At 42.7% G+C, this 17,413-nt stretch overlaps 4 annotated features.

The window, feature by feature from the left end:
- Nucleotides 5,904-6,405: an enhancer, noted in NCBI's record as "H3K4me1 hESC enhancer chr3:109066679-109067180 (GRCh37/hg19 assembly coordinates)". NCBI's record gives its function as "activates a minimal SCP1, AML or CMV promoter by ChIP-STARR-seq in naive H9 embryonic stem cells {active_cell/tissue: H9 hESC(naive)}" and the evidence as "EXISTENCE:reporter gene assay evidence [ECO:0000049][PMID:30033119]".
- Nucleotides 13,654-14,389: an enhancer, noted in NCBI's record as "OCT4-NANOG-H3K27ac-H3K4me1 hESC enhancer chr3:109074429-109075164 (GRCh37/hg19 assembly coordinates)". NCBI's record gives its function as "activates a minimal SCP1, AML or CMV promoter by ChIP-STARR-seq in naive and primed H9 embryonic stem cells {active_cell/tissue: H9 hESC(naive and primed)}" and the evidence as "EXISTENCE:reporter gene assay evidence [ECO:0000049][PMID:30033119]".
- Nucleotides 14,390-15,123: an enhancer, noted in NCBI's record as "NANOG-H3K27ac hESC enhancer chr3:109075165-109075898 (GRCh37/hg19 assembly coordinates)". NCBI's record gives its function as "activates a minimal SCP1, AML or CMV promoter by ChIP-STARR-seq in naive H9 embryonic stem cells {active_cell/tissue: H9 hESC(naive)}" and the evidence as "EXISTENCE:reporter gene assay evidence [ECO:0000049][PMID:30033119]".
- Nucleotides 15,124-15,859: an enhancer, noted in NCBI's record as "NANOG-H3K27ac-H3K4me1 hESC enhancer chr3:109075899-109076634 (GRCh37/hg19 assembly coordinates)". NCBI's record gives its function as "activates a minimal SCP1, AML or CMV promoter by ChIP-STARR-seq in primed H9 embryonic stem cells {active_cell/tissue: H9 hESC(primed)}" and the evidence as "EXISTENCE:reporter gene assay evidence [ECO:0000049][PMID:30033119]".

Raw genomic sequence — 17,413 nt, forward strand, 5'->3', positions numbered from 1 at the left:
CAAAACTCCTGAACTCCAGGGATCAAAAGATCCTCCCGCTTTAGCCTTCTGAGCAGTTGCAGGTGTGCACCACCACATCCTGTTTGGACATTTACTTTAAAGAACTGGATTTACTAACCAGGGGGCAGATTTACCATGAAGCTAATTAAGTTTCAGGTCCTTTACTTGCACTGGCCCATTCCAAGTTGCTGTCAGGCCCCTGGCAAGCTTGCATTCGTAATTATATATATATATTTTTTCTTATAGAGGGACCACCAGAATTGTATAACCTTCAGGCTCCACAGATCGGCTTCAGTGACAATGCTTACACATTGAAATGTTTGTTTAAAACAGTAACACAGGCTGGGCGTTGGTGGCTCACACCTGTAATCCCAGTACTTTGGGAGGCTGAGGCAGGCGGATCACTTGAGGTCAGGAGTTCGAGACCAGCCTGGCTAACATGGTGGAACCCCGTCTCTACTAAAAATACAAAAATTAGCCTGGCGTGGTGGCACACGCCTGTAATCTCTGCTACTCAGGAGGCAGGAGAATTGCTTGGACCTGGGAGGCAGAGGTTGCCGTGAGCCGAGATTGCGCCATGCATTCCAGCCTAGGTGAAAGAGCGAGACTCCGTCTCAAAACGAAACAAAAAACAGTAACGCATCTGGGAAATCTCCCCTAATATGCTTTCCTTTTTCTTCCTCTACTAGTTCCATGCTCCCAACCCCCAATTAATTGTGCTCCAGCAGAATCATCTCGATTATTAGGTTTTCACTTTTTGACTCTCTTCCTAAGTGCTAAGTGCCAAAGGAATTCTGTGTCCTAGGGCCATAATTAGCACATATGAAATTTTGTATACATTAAAAAAAAAAACCACTTTGGGGCTGACAAATTGCAAAAAGACTTAAGTGCACCAATTAGAAAAAGTTGCTACTTCCTCCAGGCTCTTGCAACTGTGAGTGAAGTCACAGGGCTTGGCAAATGGCTCCTGAGCTTTATTTCAGCCCAATTCTTGTCCGTTCTCAGGTCCCCCTCTCAGAGACTACAATCTGTACAACCATAGGGGCAGCCCTGTGTCCCTACTTTATTTCAAGTTTGTTAAACAGATTCAGATGCTTTTTAAAAAATCCATTTTATGGCTGGGCGCGGTGGCTCACGCCTGTAATCCCAGCACTTTGGGAGGTCGAGACAGGTGGATCATGAGGTCAGGAGATGGAGACCATCCTGACTAATATGGTGAAACCCTGTCTATACTAAAATACAAAAAAATTAGCCGGGCGTGGTGGCAGGCGCCTGTAGTCCCAGCTACTCAGGAGGCTGAGGCAGAAGAATAGTGTGAACCTGGGAGTTGGATCTTGCAGTGAGCTGAGATGGCGCCACTGCACTCCAGCCTGGGCAACAGAGCGAGACTCCATCTCAAAAAAACAAAAAAATCCATTTTAATATTATTTTTAATTGACACGTAGTAATTATACATATTTATGGGGTACAGTGTGATATTTTCATATATGTATACAACATGTAATGATCAAATCAGGGTAATTATTATAGCCTATTTACTGCCTCAAACATTTATCATTTCTTTGTTTTTGTTTTTAGAGACAGGGTCTCGGTCTGTTACCCAAGCTGAAGAGCAATGGGATGATCATGGCTCACTGCAGCCTCAGATTCCTGGGCTCAAGTGATCCTCCCATCTCAGCCTCCCAAGTAGCTGGACCTACAGACATCCACCATCATGCCTGGGTAATTTTTCAATTATTTTGTGGAAATGAGGTTTCATTATGTTGCCCAGGCAGGTCTCAGATTCCTGGCCTCACACTATCCTCCTGCCTTAGCCTCCCAAAGCGCTGGGATTATAGGAATGAGCCACCACACCTGGCCCTTATCATTTATTTGGGTTGCAAACATTCAAAATCCTCTCTTCCAGCTATTCTAAAATATATGACAAACTGTTGCTAATTATAGTTACCTTGCCTGGTGCGGTGGCTCTTGCCTGTCATCCTAGCACTTTGGGAGACTGAGGAGGGAGAATATGCTAGAGCCCAGGAGTTTGAGACCAGCCTGGGCAAAATACTGAGACTTGGAGTGCAACGGTGCAACCACAGCTCACTGCAGCCTAGGCTCAAGTGATCCTCCCACCTTAGCTTTCCAACTAGCTAGGACTCCAGGTGCGTGCCCACCTAATTTATTTGCCCATTTTTAGTTGTAATTTTTTTTCTCTTGAGTATTTTGGGTCCTTGTATATTCTGGATATTAGTCCCTTTTTTTTTTTCTTTTTTTTTTTTAAGATGGAGTTTCACTCTTATTGCCCAGGCTGGAGTGCAGTGATGCAACCTCAGCTCACCACAACCTCCATCTCCTGGGTTCAAGCTATTCTCCTGCCTCAACTTCCCGAGTAGCTGTGATTACAAGCGCCTGTCACCACACCCGGCTAATTTTGTATTTTTAATAGAGACAGAATTTCTCCAAGTTGGTCAGGCTGGTCTCGAACTCCTGACCTTAGATGATCTACCCGCCTTGGCCTCCCAAAGTGCTGGGATTACAGGCGTGAGCCACCATGCCTGGCCTATTTAGTTCCTTTTTTGGATAAATTTTGGTTTGTTTCCTGTGCTTTTGAGATCCTATCCATAAAATCTTTGCCCAAACCAATGTCCTGAAGCAATTCTCTTATGTTTTCTTCTAGTAGTTTTATAGCTTCGGGTCTTACATTTAAGCCTTTAATCTATTGAGAGTCGATTTTCATATAGGGTGAGAGATGGGGTTCTAGTGTCATTCTGCTGCATAGGCATATCCAGTTTTTCCAGCACCTTTTATCAAAGACTGTGTTCCCCAGTGTGTGTTTTTGGCACTTTTGTCAAAAGCCAGCTGGCTATAAATATGTGGATTTATTTCAAGGTTATCTTTTCTGTTCTGTTGTTCTGTGTCTGTTTTATGCCAGACCATGCTGTTTTGGTTACTATAGCTTTTATTTTCTTTTTTCTGACAGTCTTGCTCTATCGCCCAGGCTGGGGTGCAGTGGTGAGATCTCAGCTCACTGCAACTTTCACCTTCCAGGTTCAAGGGATTCTCCTGCCTCAGCCTCCCAAGTAGCTGGGATTACAGGTGCGCACCACCACGCCTGGCTAATTTTTGTATTTTCAACAGAGATGGGGTTTTGTCATGTTGGCCAGCCTGGTCTCGAACTCCTGGCCTCAAGTGATCCGCTCACCTCAGCCTCCTAGAGTACTGGGATTCCAGGCATGAGCCACTGCACCCAGCCTACTATAGCTTTATCGTATATTTTGTTATTTTTATTTTATTTTATTTTTTTGACATGGAGTCTCGCTCTCTTCCTCACCTGGGACTGCAGTGGTGCAATCTTGGCTCACTGCAACCTCCGCCTCCTGGGTTCAGGCGATTCTTCCACCTCAGCCTCCTGAGTAGCTGGGACTAAAGGCGTGTGCAACCATGCCCAGCTAATTTTTGTATTTTTAGTAGAGATGGGCTTTTGCCATGTTGGCCACGCAGGTCTTGTATGTTGATTTTGTATCCCACAATTTATTGAATTTGTTTATCAGCTCTAAGAGTTTTTCGGTGGCATCCTTAGGTTTTTCCAAATATAAGATCATTTCCAAATCTTAAATGGTTGAAAATTACAACTGTGCAATTTCCTTATTCCTGATGGTTTCCCCTCTCATTTCCAAATGGTCTTGTATTTGACTGGTGCAGTTTGACTTCCTCCTTTCCAATTTGGACGCCCTTTAATTTTTTCTCTTGCCTAATTGCTCTAGCTAGTATTTCCTCACATGCTTTTGAAGCCAAGATATATGACTGTATGTTTATCAACACTCAAGGAGATTCATCACTGTTGTAGAGGACATTGATAAGTTTCCCAAAGTGTGTTTTTCAGCAAGTCAACTGATAGTGCCTGTAGACTGAATAGTGTTGATTTCCCAAGTCATTTGCTGATACATTTCTGGGGAAGAGAGGCAGTTGTGAGACTGCAGGCCCTAATGAAACGATTTCAGTTGAAAACAGGCTGGCTCTGAACTATTCTTTGTTATCATAAGAACTCACTGAAATATAATGACCTACTTTGAAGTAAAGGAAGGAGCTCATAAAGATTTAGGTAAGATGAAGTGACTGAGATCATTTTTTCAGCTCCCTCTGTCAGCATCCTTACTTCCTTCTTCTCGTTACCCATCAAGTCCTAATGAATCTACCTTCTAAATGTTTCTCAGGGCTGATTCTTCGTTTTCATCCTCTAGTACTATCTGCATTCAGGATCTCATTTCATCTCACCTGCATCACTGTGATAGCTTCCTTATTGATGCTTTTGTCTTCATCCGGTCTCTCACCCCTTCCAAACCATCCTCCACGTGAGCCTGGCTATGGAAGGCTGTTCTGCCCATCTCCAGGGAACACAGCTCTGATGTGAATGGCACCCCCTGGAGTTCTTTCATTTCTTGTATCCCAACAACTCGGGGAATAGAAAACATGAGTACCTGAGGCTTTTTTACATACATAATCATCCCAAGGAATTTATGAGTGAGAGTTTCTAAAAGCAAGCTAATTTAATCCTGTAGCATGTTTGCATTTTTGCTCAAAAGCCTTAACTCTTGTTAAATATAATTCACTTTCCTGTGGCTTTAAATGTTACCCAGCTCTGAAATAAGGTGGCTTTTATGATAAGAATTGCTTTCCTCCTGAGCTTGAAGCACAGCCATGCGTAGAACAGTAAAACTAACTTAAATGAGAATGATTACTAAATAACTGTGGCTTCAAAGAGAAGATAGGTAATAATACTTTGCATTCATACAAGCCTGCCTTTCATTTGAGTATCGCAAAGGAAAGCAAAATGTAGCTGATGCTGTGTTATGGTTGAAAATTACAACTGCGCAATTTCTTTATTCCTGTTTCCCCTCTCAAATATGATACCGAGTTAAAGCATCTCTAGAATTCAATGTGTATTGATTTTGAACACAGGCTTTTTCTGTCTGTTTTCTACCCCTTTAACATCAACCACAAGTTGCAAAGGCATCAGTGAACCACATGCTTTTGTGGTTTTGAAGCATTTGCTATCACTGGAGAAAAATATAATGATAAAGGATAGAAGAATTTCTTACTCAGCTGTTTTAAACTTATGGTGGAAAAATAAAGAGATGAAGATAGAGACAGAATATTCTCTGCACCCCCAGAATCAGTTCATTCATGGTGCTAACAAACACTTCAAGAATGTGCCAGAGAACTCGCCTGATTCACTTTACTGAAACACAAGATTCACAAGGTATGCTTAGTGGTATAAAAGGTAACTGTTTCCATTAAGGCCCTGAATTACAATACTGTGAATGTTCTGAATATTGATAGATCTAGAAATCCTAGAAGTACATTGGTAGGGACCCTCTTTACATACTTCCTCTTGTGAGGTTGTAAACTTCTTTTTGGTGGCTTTAAAATAGTAATATAGGCCAGGCATGGTGGCTTACACCTGTTATCCCAACACTTTGGGAGGCCGAGGCAGGCAGATCGCCTGAGGTTAGGAGTTCGAGACCATCCTGGTCAACATGGTGAAACCCCGTCTCTACTAAAAACACAAAAATTAGCCGGGCGTGGGTAGCGTGCATCTGTAATCCCAGCTACTCGGGAGGCTGAAGCAGAATTGCTTGAACCCGGGAGGTGGAGGTTGCGGCGAGCCAAGATCACACCACTGCAACTCCAGCCTGGACAAGACTCAGTCTCAAAATAAAATAAAAAAATAAAAAAATAATGGTTTCATATATAATACTCTGGTTTCTCTTCAGGTCATATAAATCTTTCTTTCTTTTTTTTTTTTTGTGGGGGGAACAGTCTTGCCCTGTCGCCCAGGCTGGAGTGCAGTGGCCCTATCTTGGCTCACTGCAAGCTCCGCCTCCTGGGTTCACACCATTCTCCCGCCTCAGCCTGCGGAGTAGCTGGGACTACAGGCGCCCGCTACCACGCCTGGCTAATTTTTTTGTATTTTTAGTAGAGACGGGGTTTCACCGTGTTAGCCAGGATGGTCTCGATCTTCTGACCTCGTGATCCGCCCGCCTTGGCCTCCCAAAGTGTTGGGATTACAGGCGTGAGCCACCGCGCCTGGCCCAGGTCATATATATCTTTCATTTTTTTTTTTTTTGAGATGGAATTTTGCTCTTATTGCCCAGGCTGGTGTGCAATGGCGCAATCTCAGCTCACTGCAACCTCCGCCTCCTGGGTTCAAGAGATTCTCCTGCCTCAGTCTCCCAAATAGCTGGGATTACAGGCATGCGACACCACACCCAGCTAATTTTGTATTTTTAGTAGAGACAGAGTTTCTCCAAGTTGGCCAGGCTGGTCTCAAACTCCTGAACTCAGGTGATCCTCCCGCCTCAGCCTCCCAAAGTGCTGGGATTACAGGCGTGAGCCACTGTACCTGCTCATAAATCTTTCATCTTTTACTAAAACTAATTTTTTGTTTTTTTTTGGAGACGGACTCTCGCTAGTCACCCAGGCTGGAGGGCAGTGGCGCGATCTCGGCCCACTGCGACCTCCGCCTCCTGGGTTCACGCTGTTCTCCTGCCTCAGCCTCCCGAGTAGCTGGAACTACTCCGGGGCTCAAGCGATCATCCCATCTTGGCTTCCTAAAGTCCTGGGATACAGGTGTGAGCCACCGCGCTGAGCCTTTATTTAATGTTAATTAAAATCTAAATAGCCACATATGTTCAGTGGCGTCCATGTTTAGATGGCACAGCTATGTCTCCTTACATCCTTGACTATGGTTCCTTTTTTAGATCAACCCTCACCTCCAAGGAGAACTACTAATGTAGGCAATTAGCAGCAATTATAGCAGGATAGTCTCAGAAAACCATTGGAATTGGTGCAGTCTTGTGTGGGTGCATTATCTAGGGAGCTTCCCATTTTGTCTATGTATGGAATTGTTTTTAAAGAGAATAGATAAGACCATTTGTCTTAGTTTGTGCTGCTATAACAAAATACCACAGACTGAATAATCTATAAACAATAGACATTTATTTTTTATAGATCCATAGACAAAGAAGTCCATGGTCAAGGCATCAGGTGATGAGGCCCCAGTCTCTCTGCATCTAAGATGGTGCTTTGTTGCTGCATCCCCTGGAGGGAAGGAACGCTATGTCCTCACAAAGCAGAAGGGACAGAAAGGGCAAAAAGGGGTCAAACTCCCTCCATCAAGCCCTTTTATAATGGCATTAACCCATTAATGAGGGCAGAGTCCAAATGACCTAAAGGCCTCCCAAAAGGCCCTACCTCCCAATACTGTTGCATTGGTAATTAAGTTACCAAGATATGAATTTTGGGGGACACATTCAGACTATAGCACCATTCAATCCACATGACCCTTATATTAGCCTATGTAATACCAAAAGTAGTAATTAGGTTATTTACACAGATTGATTACCCTGTGTAGACAGTGAACAACGGCTCTGATGCACAATTAAGATGAACTTCACAAATACTGTCCTAGAGATGACTTTGGTAAAGGGTCATAGAAAACTTTATGAAATGCATTTTTTTTTTTTGAGACGGAGTCTTGCTCTGTCCCCCAGGCTGGAGTGCAGTGGCTCAATCTCGGCTCACTGCAAGCTCTGCCTCCCGGATTCATGCCATTCTCCTGCCTCAGCCTCCCGGAGTAGCTGGGACTACCAGCTCCTGCCACCACACTCGGCTAATTTTTTGTATTTTTAGTAGAGACGGGGTTTCACCGTGTTAGCCAGGATGGTCTCAATCTCCTGACCTCGCGATCCGCCCGCCTCTGCCTCCTAAAGTGCTGGGATTACAGGCGTGAGCCACCGTGCCCGGCCATGAAATGCATTTTTTAAGCATGTTAGAATATTTAGGTATGATACCTCATTTGATTTGATTCAGAGGCAATTTTCAGACAAATGTCCAAAGGAGAGAGAGAGACTCAGCTAGTGGACATAAGCTTTCTTGACACTACAGTGAAAAAGATATTAAGAATATTAAATCCCTTCTGCTCACGTGGGGAAGTTCATTAGCAAGAGCCAGAGGTCAATTCCAACAAACATATACTGACTCCTATGGGCCAGCACTGACAAGAATTTAATGATAGCGCAGTTGTGTTCCTGGCAGATGCATGATGAGAGTTGTGCTTTAGGAAACTTACTTTGATCAGGGGCTATTGTGGGACTTCTTGCTAGGGACAGGGAAGACCAGAATGAGGTGGTTGTTGGTGGGACCGGAAAGGCAAGTTATGTGAAGCCTTGCAAAGTCAGAATCTCAGGGGAACTTATAAGATATGGGAATTAAACTTTGTTATAATAATGAGGTTTAAATTTGGGTACTAGGAAATGGTGCTATTATTCACATCACATTAGAACAAAAGAGATATGGAAGAGAGGAAGATGTACTGTGAACTTGAGTGATTCCTCCCTTCTTGGTTTTTGCAGAGCACTTCATATAGGTTGCATAGTTTTTATTCTACAAAATAATGCTTTGCTGGATTGGGAGTTCCTAGATTACAAGGACTACATGTTATTTAACTTTATATTGCTAGTACTAGACTAAAGGCCTAGCACAGAGATATTGACTAAGTCATGAGTAAATGACTGAATGGATGAATAAAGAAAATGCTAGGGGCCCGGCGAAGTGGTTCACGTCTATAATCCCAGCACTTCGGGAGGCCAAGGCGGGTGGATCACAAGGTCAGGAGTTTAAGACCAGACTGGCCAACATGCTGAAACCCCGTCTCTACTAAAAATAAAAAAATTAGCTGGGCATGCTGGCGGGCGCCTGTAATCCCAGCTGCTCGGGAGGCTGAGGCGGGAGAATCGCTTGAAGCCAGGAGGCGGAGGTTGCAGTAAGCCGAGATCGTGCCACTGCACTCCAGCCTGGGCGACAGAGCGAGACTCCATCTCAAAAAAAAAAAAAAAAAAAAAGGAAATACTAGGGACTTGGGTTAGTTCTCTTAATTGCTGCCAAGCCTAAGTTTAGGTGTCTCCACAGCAGTGTTGCCATTGGCTCAGATAAGGAATATTAATGTCGAATATATGTCATAGGTCTGGGTTTTGGTTGGTAAGTGGTGGTGGGTGGTAGTGCGGGTATGTGGTGTGAAGTAAGCAGAGGGTATTGTGTGATGGATAGAAGAAAAGACATCTAAGTAGGTACATTTATTTATTTAATGTATTTATTTTAATCTTTTTTGTCCTTCTTTTTAAAACAATATTTTTTTGTAGAGGTGGGTTCTCACTAAGTTGCTCAGACTAGTCTCGAACTCCTGTGTTCAAGCGATCCTCCTGCCTTGGCCTCCCAAAGGGCTGCGATTACAAGTGGTACATTTATTTTTAGTATGCTCCTACTTCCCTTTCTATTACTATGATTAAATTTTGTTTCTCTATTTCCTAATTCTCAGATATCTATTCATTTATTAACTCAACTAACATGCATTTTCACCTAATGTATACCAGGCATTGTGTAATGTGCTGGGATACAAAATCCAAAGAGCAATTTCTGGAGTGCAGGTTATCCTAGCCATTAGGCTTGTGCTGTTCTCTTGCAATTCATATTAGCATGCCCAGTGAGTCTTTGATAGTCTCTTTGTTTTTTGGTGCAATATGATATCCCATGTTTATCTTACATTGCATCATTTCTCTTTGAAATAGTTCCCCTTACTTCAAAGAAATGCATAGTAAAATTTATGCTATCTAAAAATGTCTTTTTTTCTGCTTTAAACATCTATTTCATAGGGAGAATGTTTCAACCTTGAAAAGTATTAACATTGGGTCTTTATTAGTTGTAAAATATGTATTTACTTTTTTAAGTTTAAAGGCATCTTGATAATTTTCCATGAGACTTAGCAAAATTCCAATATTGATATTTAATATTTTAAAGTAAGCCTCTTTCTTAGTGATTCCAATATAGATCCAATATCTGCTTTGGATATAATAATGATCTATAGTATAAATTGGGTAAAAACCATATTCAAATGGCATATCTTTTAAAACACTAACTTTGTTTTGGGAAGCAACAATTTTGCAGTGGCATGATCTCGGCTCACTGCAACCTCGGCCTCCCGGGTTCAAGCGATTCTTCTGTCTCAGCCTCCGCGTAGCTGGGACTACAGGCACATGCCACCATGCCCAACCAATTTTTGTAGTTTTAGTAGAGACGGGATTTCACCATGTTGTCCAGGCTGGTCTCAAACTCCTGACCTTGTGATCCACCCACCTTGGCCTCCCAAAGTGCTGGGATTACAGGCGTGAGCCACCGCACCTGGTCCTGGAAAGCAATAATTTTTCTTTAGCACATTGCTAAACAAAGCAAGAAAGCAGCCATTACAAATAAACTCTTCCTACCTTTTTTTGTCCCTTATCATTCTTCTTGCTTAAGAAATAAATGTATCATGCTTTCCCACATGATAATTTGATCCTTTTTTTTTTGGAAACATCTTGCTCTTTCGACCAGGCTGGAGTGCAGTGGCACAATCATGGTTCACTACAGCCCTAACCTCCCAGGCCCAAGTGATCCTCCTGCCTCAGGCTCTGGAGTAGCTGGGACTACAGGCACGCATGCCACTGTGCCTGCTTGATATTTTTAGTTTTTGAGGAGACACGGTCTCACTATGCTTCACAAGCTGGTCTGGAACCTGTGGCTCAATGATCCTCCTGCCTCAGCCTCCCAAAGTGCTGAGATTACAGGCGTGAGCCACTGCTCCCAGCCTAGAGTTGTTTACTTTCTTTTCCACTCAGTTTGAGCATTTGTATAGGAAAAATAGCTAATAATAAGGATGCTGTCTAAATAATTACTTGGAAAGTAATGAACTTTTATAGAATATTTGATTCATAAACTTAAAAGATTATGTAAATTAGTAACATTAGTTAATAACATTGAAATACTTTCAATAGGTTTTGGGCATTGGGAAAATGATTTTAAAATGAAAATACTTTCATCATTCATTAATGCCAGTACAGCATGACTTGCTCTTAGTTTGCATAAATAATGTAGGTGCATTCTTCAGAAAAGGTAACCATCTTTGCTAAAGCTCTTCATGGTGCCTAGCAGAATTTAGAAGCTATAATCTCAGTTGATGTAGTCAGCTTCAGAACTGTCTTACCCTTACAGATGGAATGTCAGTATTGCAACTGTGATGCCTTTATATCATGTGAGAAGAACAATAGAGTCCTGGGAGGCAAGTGCAGATGACCCCAAGGTCCTTGTGGACAAGGAAGTAAAAGCTAAGAAGAAATGGCACGTTTCTTAGGAAACATTTCAATATTGTTATTTATACAAGGATGCAGAGAACAGTACAGCTGGAGAATTAAATGGAGAGATCAGCGCACAGATGGGTAAGAAAGCACTGTTTTGCCAACTGGATAACATCTGGCACATTAGAGTCAACCTAAATACCTAACAAGCTAAACAAAAGTTCAAGTAGCAGATGATCTCTTTATCTTTCTGCAAAGAGCAGGAACATAGCAGCCAAAAATGAGTCATGTTAGATGTGGAAATAAGAGATACAGTTTAAAAAATAAAATCCTCCTTTAAACAGTTATGGAATATGCAGCTGGAATTGTAGCAATCAGGAAAGTGAGAAGAAGGCAGTTTATAGAAAACCTATAAACTATTAACTCCATTGCAGTGGTTTACTATATAAAATACAGCAAATTTGTCTTCCACTCAAGATTGCTAGCATTTATCAGATTATCAGCAGTGCTTATAAGGCAAAACAAACAATTTTTTCAGAAGTAAAGCAGAGACATATATTGGTAATCAATTACAGGTCCATGACTCTAATAAAGCTTTTTTTGAGATCAACTTATAAAATGTTCTATGCATTATCAATATTTTTAGGTGACTTTCATGCCAGAATTTCTATTCTTGGCTCTTTCTCTATATTTTGCATCACCATGCCTGGGATACCTTTCTGAGACAGTGAATCCAATCTGAGGTTTAGTCACAGTAACAGAAATTAAAATGGCATCAAAAATCCAATCTGTTTTTTGTTATTTTCTGACTTAGGGAGGAAAAAACCCAAGTTGGCAATTTGACCTTCATATTTGATGTTTCATTATTGAAGAAATGTAATTTTCAAGTTTTTATGTTATTTTATTTTTTTATTTTTCGGATTCAGGGTCTCGTTCTATTGCCCAGGCTCTCTGAGGAGGGAACATATAAATGGAGAACTGAATAACAGGAAGGAGCCAATTACATAAAGAATGAGGCAAGAACATTCTAGACAGCGGACAGAGCTAGTGCTAAGGTCCTAAGGCAGGAATAAACATCATTAGGAACAAAGCATGGAAAATATAATGTGTGTGTGATGAAATTACTGGTTGCATTAAATATGATGGCAATGACAGTACAAATAGTAGATAATTAACAAATCCTTAGGAGAGGAAATAAATTTAAAGTGTCCATGAATGGTGCTGATAACTGCAATGTGGTCACAAAAACGAGCCAGACACGTTTACAAAGGTCCGGATGTACCAGAATGAGTGAGTTTAATTCCTGAATTAATTCCAGTGACTCCTGGCCTAGACTCAAAGCCATCATAAGAACATCATCAGAATGGATCCAAAGAGTAGAATATTTTTTCTGCAGTTCGAACTTTAGGAAGAAGTCAGACTATAACATCACCATTGTAAAAGGCAATGGCTTGGCCAGGCACAGTGGCTCACGCCTGTAATCCCAGGACTTTGGAAGGCCGAGGCAGGCAGATCACCTGAGGTAAGGAGTTCGAGACCAGTCTGGCCAACGTGGTGAAACCCCGTCTCTACTAAAAATACAAAAATTAGCTGGGCGTGGTAGCGGGCACCTGTAATCCCAGCTACTCGGGATGCTGAGGCAGGAGAATTGCTTGAACCCGGGAGGCCGAGGTTGCAGTGAGCCGAGATCGTGCCACTATCCAGCCTGGGCGACAAGAGCGAAACTCCGTCTCAAAAAAAATAAAAAAGGGCGATGGCCTATAACAAACCCAATCCTCACTCTCACCTCCACTTTTAAATCTCTCTTTAAAAAGCACTGTAAAAATATTTTATACAATCTTCTAGTTCTTTTGTAGTATTGGCCAGTAAATATTACTATTTATCATCAGTAAGGGAAATAAATCTTAGACTTCCATCTCCTCCCAATTTAATACTTTTAAATAAGTTTTAAATGAAATTTGCATTTCCGTGAAATTATTCATTCTACTCTGACCCTTCGTGAGTAGTTTCAATGCTTTTGCTTACAAGCTGTCAAGCTGCAGATTTAAAATGGTAACTACTTGTTGAGGCTGAAAGTTCAGAAAACCTAAAGAGAATGAGATACTGTTTTCATAGTTCCCTTAAATAAGTAATGAGGCCGGGCGCGGTGGCTCACGCTTGTAATCCCAGCACTTTGGAAGGCTGAGGCGGGCGGATCACGATGTCAGGAGATTGAGTCCACGGTGAAACCCTGTCTCTACTAAAAATACAAAAAAAATTAGCCGGGCGTGGTGGCGGGCGCCTGTAGTCCCAGCTACTCGGAGGGGCTGAGGCAGGAGAATGGCGTGAGCCCGGGAGGCAGAGGTTGCAGTGAGCCGAGATCGCGCCACTGCACTCCAGCCTGGGCGGCAGACCAAGACTCCGTCTCAAAAAAAAAAAAAAAAAAAAAAAAGAAAAGGAATGATAAATTATAGAAAGGCATTTTAAACTAAACATTTTGCAACAGTACACTGAAGAGGCTAAATCATTGTGTGATAATTTGGAGTGTCTCCCTTTTCCCTTACATCCAATCTACCCCAGTGTCAGAAGTTTAATGTAAAAGAAATAACTTTATTAAGGGAAGAATAGCTGTCATAGACCCTTTCCTGCAACTTAGGAATCATGAGACCTGTGAACTCTTACTTGCTCCGTAAGTCAGCCTAGGAAGTGACTTAAAAGGCTGTCAGGAAACGCACAGGGGGCTCATTCGCTGCCTGGTGAGACCTGGGAGAAATCAAGTCTTCAGAGATGCAAATTAACTGCAGAATACAACCTATTGTTGTATAGATTCAGTTTAAAGAAAAGGCTTTCCTGAATGCAAGACAAAATGGACTTTTGAAATGCTGGGGACTGACAGAGAAGTTGAGTACTTCATTCTAGGCTTTCCATATGAAGGGAATTAGGAATTTTAGACTCAGGATCACACTTGTAAGAACACTGTGTTTTGCAACTTCTTCAGGATTGTTTTATTTGACATCTTGTTGCCTACTAATGAGAGCAGTTAACTCAACATTAAAAGCCAGTATGTGTGTATTCAGGGCCAATCAGACTGCCCTTCTCATCCCTGAGAATCCCTGGGAAGAGAAATACTTTTTCTAGTGACCAAAGAAAGGAAAACAAGGTGATTCCGTGGGAACTGCTACAAGAAGACATAAAGGAAAACGGAGCATGGGCAGTCAGCTGAGCATGAAAAACAGCTGCCTGTCACCCACTGTGGCTTTAGGGCAGCGGCCTTTCTGACCTTTGGAAGATAAGTGGCTTCCAGAATTTCCGACGCACAGGCTGCACCTCAGACCAATTATGCCATTACTCTAGGGTGACCCAGGTAACACTTTTGTTTTTTTTAAACAAATTAGGTTCCCAGGTGTTTCCATAATGCAGTCAAGGTTGAGTCCCCTCAAACTTTCAGGTGCTCATGAACCACCTGGGGATTTTATTAAAATGCAAATTCTGATTCAGTAGGTCTGGAGCAGGGCCTGAGTTCTGCATTTTCAACTCAGCTCCCAGAAGCTACTTATTCTGCTGGGGCAGGGGGATCAATGCAATGCAAACCCTTGGACAGACATTAACTCTAGCAGAAGTAGATTCTGCATAATGATTTCAATGCCTACCATTAAGCCAGTGATCGACATTTAAGTAGCAGAAATTTAAAAATGTAAATCTTGAAAATCACAGTAAGTTTAGAGTATAATCTAAATGCGTTACTACTGTTTACAAGTCTTTCAATTTGACAAGGTCTCTGAACTCTCCCCTATCACTTTCCTCTGGCTTACTCTTCTTCAGGGCAGAGTTATTCTTGCTGCTTCTCATACATGCCAGACCCGTCTTCCCTTCACAGCCTTCAAACTTTCTGCTCCTTGGAATTCTTGCTTAGAATACCTGCCCCTCCATAACCTCATGGCTTGCTCCCTTTTCATTCAGCTCAAATGTCACCTCTTCAGCCCTTCCCTGAGCACCCATTCTGGAGAGACCACTTTCCCTCTGCTTCTCTGTCTCATAGCCCTCTCCCCACATGGCACTGATAGCTATTTGAAATTGGTCTGCTTATTTGTTTGCTTATTGACTAAAGGAAACAAAAAAATATTTTACACCAAATATACTTATTTGACATATTTAAAGATGGCTATTTAGAGAGCCTGAAAACATAAGAATAGCTAAAAAGCTTTTTCTCTTCTCTCCCTCCCATAACCTCTCTTGCCATGCTCTGAGCCCCTCTTCTTTCTGTAACCTCAGGTGGTATAAAAGCATCAACTATCTGGCCCTTTCTTTTTTTTCACTGTTGTTGCCCAGGCTGGAGTGGTGCAATGGCTCAATCTCGGCACACCGCAACCTCCACCTCTTAGGTTCAAGCGATTCTCCTGCCTCAGCCTCCTGAATAGCTGGGATTACAGGCATACACTACCATGCCTGGCTAATTTTGTATTTTTAGTAAAGACGGGCTTTCTCTGTGTTGGTCAGGCTGGTCTCCAACTCCCGACCTCATGTGATCTGCCCTCCTCAGCCTCCCAAAGTGCTGGGATTACAGGCGTGAGCCACTACCCCCAGCTTATCTGGCCCTTTCTTTGAGTTTTTAAAATCTGTGTTCCTCCCATGCATGCATGTGTACATTAATGTTTTGTCTGCCTTTCTCCTTTTAATCAGCCTTTTGTCAGTTGATTTCTAGTGAACCTTCAGAGGGCAAAAGAGATTTGTCTTAGCCCCTACAAGTTTTTCTCTCCCTCCATAAGAATATTAACCATGAGAGAAAAGCCTCTGTTCTAGGTCCCTGCTACATTCCCAGATCCTAGAACACAACTGAACCCATAGAAGGACACAGAAGAAAAAAAAATGAAAGCGAATGGTAAGGCCAGGCGTAGTGGCTCACGCCTGTAATCCCAGCACTTTAGGAGGCTGAGGCAGGCAGATCGCGAGGTCAGGAGTTCAAGACCAGCCTGGCCAACATGGTGAAAACCCTTTTCTACTAAAAATACAAAAATAAGCTGAGCGTGGTGGCGGGTGCCTGTAATCCCAGCTACTCAGAAGGCTGAGGCAGAGAATTGCTTGAACCTGGGAGGCAGAGGTTGCAGTGAGCTGAGATCGCGCCACTGCCCTCCAGCCTGGGCAACAGATCAAGACTCCGTCTCAAAAAAAAAAAAAAAAAAAAAGGAGAAAATGAAGCCAGGCGTGGTAGCTCACGCCTGTAATCTCAGCACTTTGGGATGCCGAGGTGGGCAGATTACCTGAGGTCAGGATTTTGAGACCAGCCTGACCAACAGGGAGAAAACTCATCACTACTAAAAATACAAAAATTAGCTGGGCGTGGTGGTACATGTCTGTAATCCCAGCTACTCGGGAGGCTGAGGCAGGAGAATCGCTTGAACCCGGGAGTCGGAGGTTGTGGTGAGCCGAGATTGCGCCAGCCTGGGCAACAAGAGCGAAACTCCGTCTCAACAAAATGAAAAATAATAATAATAATAAAATGAATGATAAAAGTATCAGTCTGGGTTTTCCAAAGAAAGAGAGACAGAGAGGTTCAGGAATTGGCTCACATGATTGTGGACACTGGCACATCTAGAATCCATGGGGCAGGCCAGCAGGTTGGAAACTCAGGCTGAATTCTTTCTCTTTTGGAAAACTTCAGTTTTTTTGTTTTTGTTTGTTTGTTTGTTTTGAGACGAAGTCTCCCAAGCTGGAGTGCAATGGCGCGATCTCAGCTCACTGCAACCTCCACCTCCCAGGTTCAAGTGATTTTCCTGCCTCAGCCTCCTGAGTAGCTGGAATTACAGGTGCCTGCCACCATGCCTGGCTAATTTTTGTATTTTTTTTTTTTTTTAGTAGAGATGGGGTTTCACCATGTTGGCCAGACTGTTCTCGACCTCCTGACCTCAGGTGATCCACCTGCCTTGGGCTTCCAAAGTGCTGGGATTACAGCTGTGAGCCACTGTGCCCGGCCAACTTCAGTTTTTTTGTTTGTTCATTTTTGAGACAAGATCTCATTCTGTTGCCCAGGCTGGAGTGCAGTGGCACAAACATGGCTCACTTCAGCCTTGACCTTTTTGCTCAAGCAATCCTCCTGCCTCATTTTCCCAAGTAGCTGGGACTACAGGTGCAGGCCACCACATCTGGCTAATTTTCACAATTTTTTTGTAGAGATAAGGTCTCACCATGCTGCCCAGGCTGGTCTCAAACTCCTGGGCTCAAGAGATCCTCCTGCCTCATTCTCCCAGTGTTGAGATTACAGGCATGAGCCATGGTGCCCAACC

Source organism: Homo sapiens, chromosome 3 (assembly GCF_000001405.40).
Source record: "Homo sapiens chromosome 3, GRCh38.p14 Primary Assembly".
Classification (NCBI taxonomy): Eukaryota; Metazoa; Chordata; class Mammalia; order Primates; family Hominidae; genus Homo; species Homo sapiens.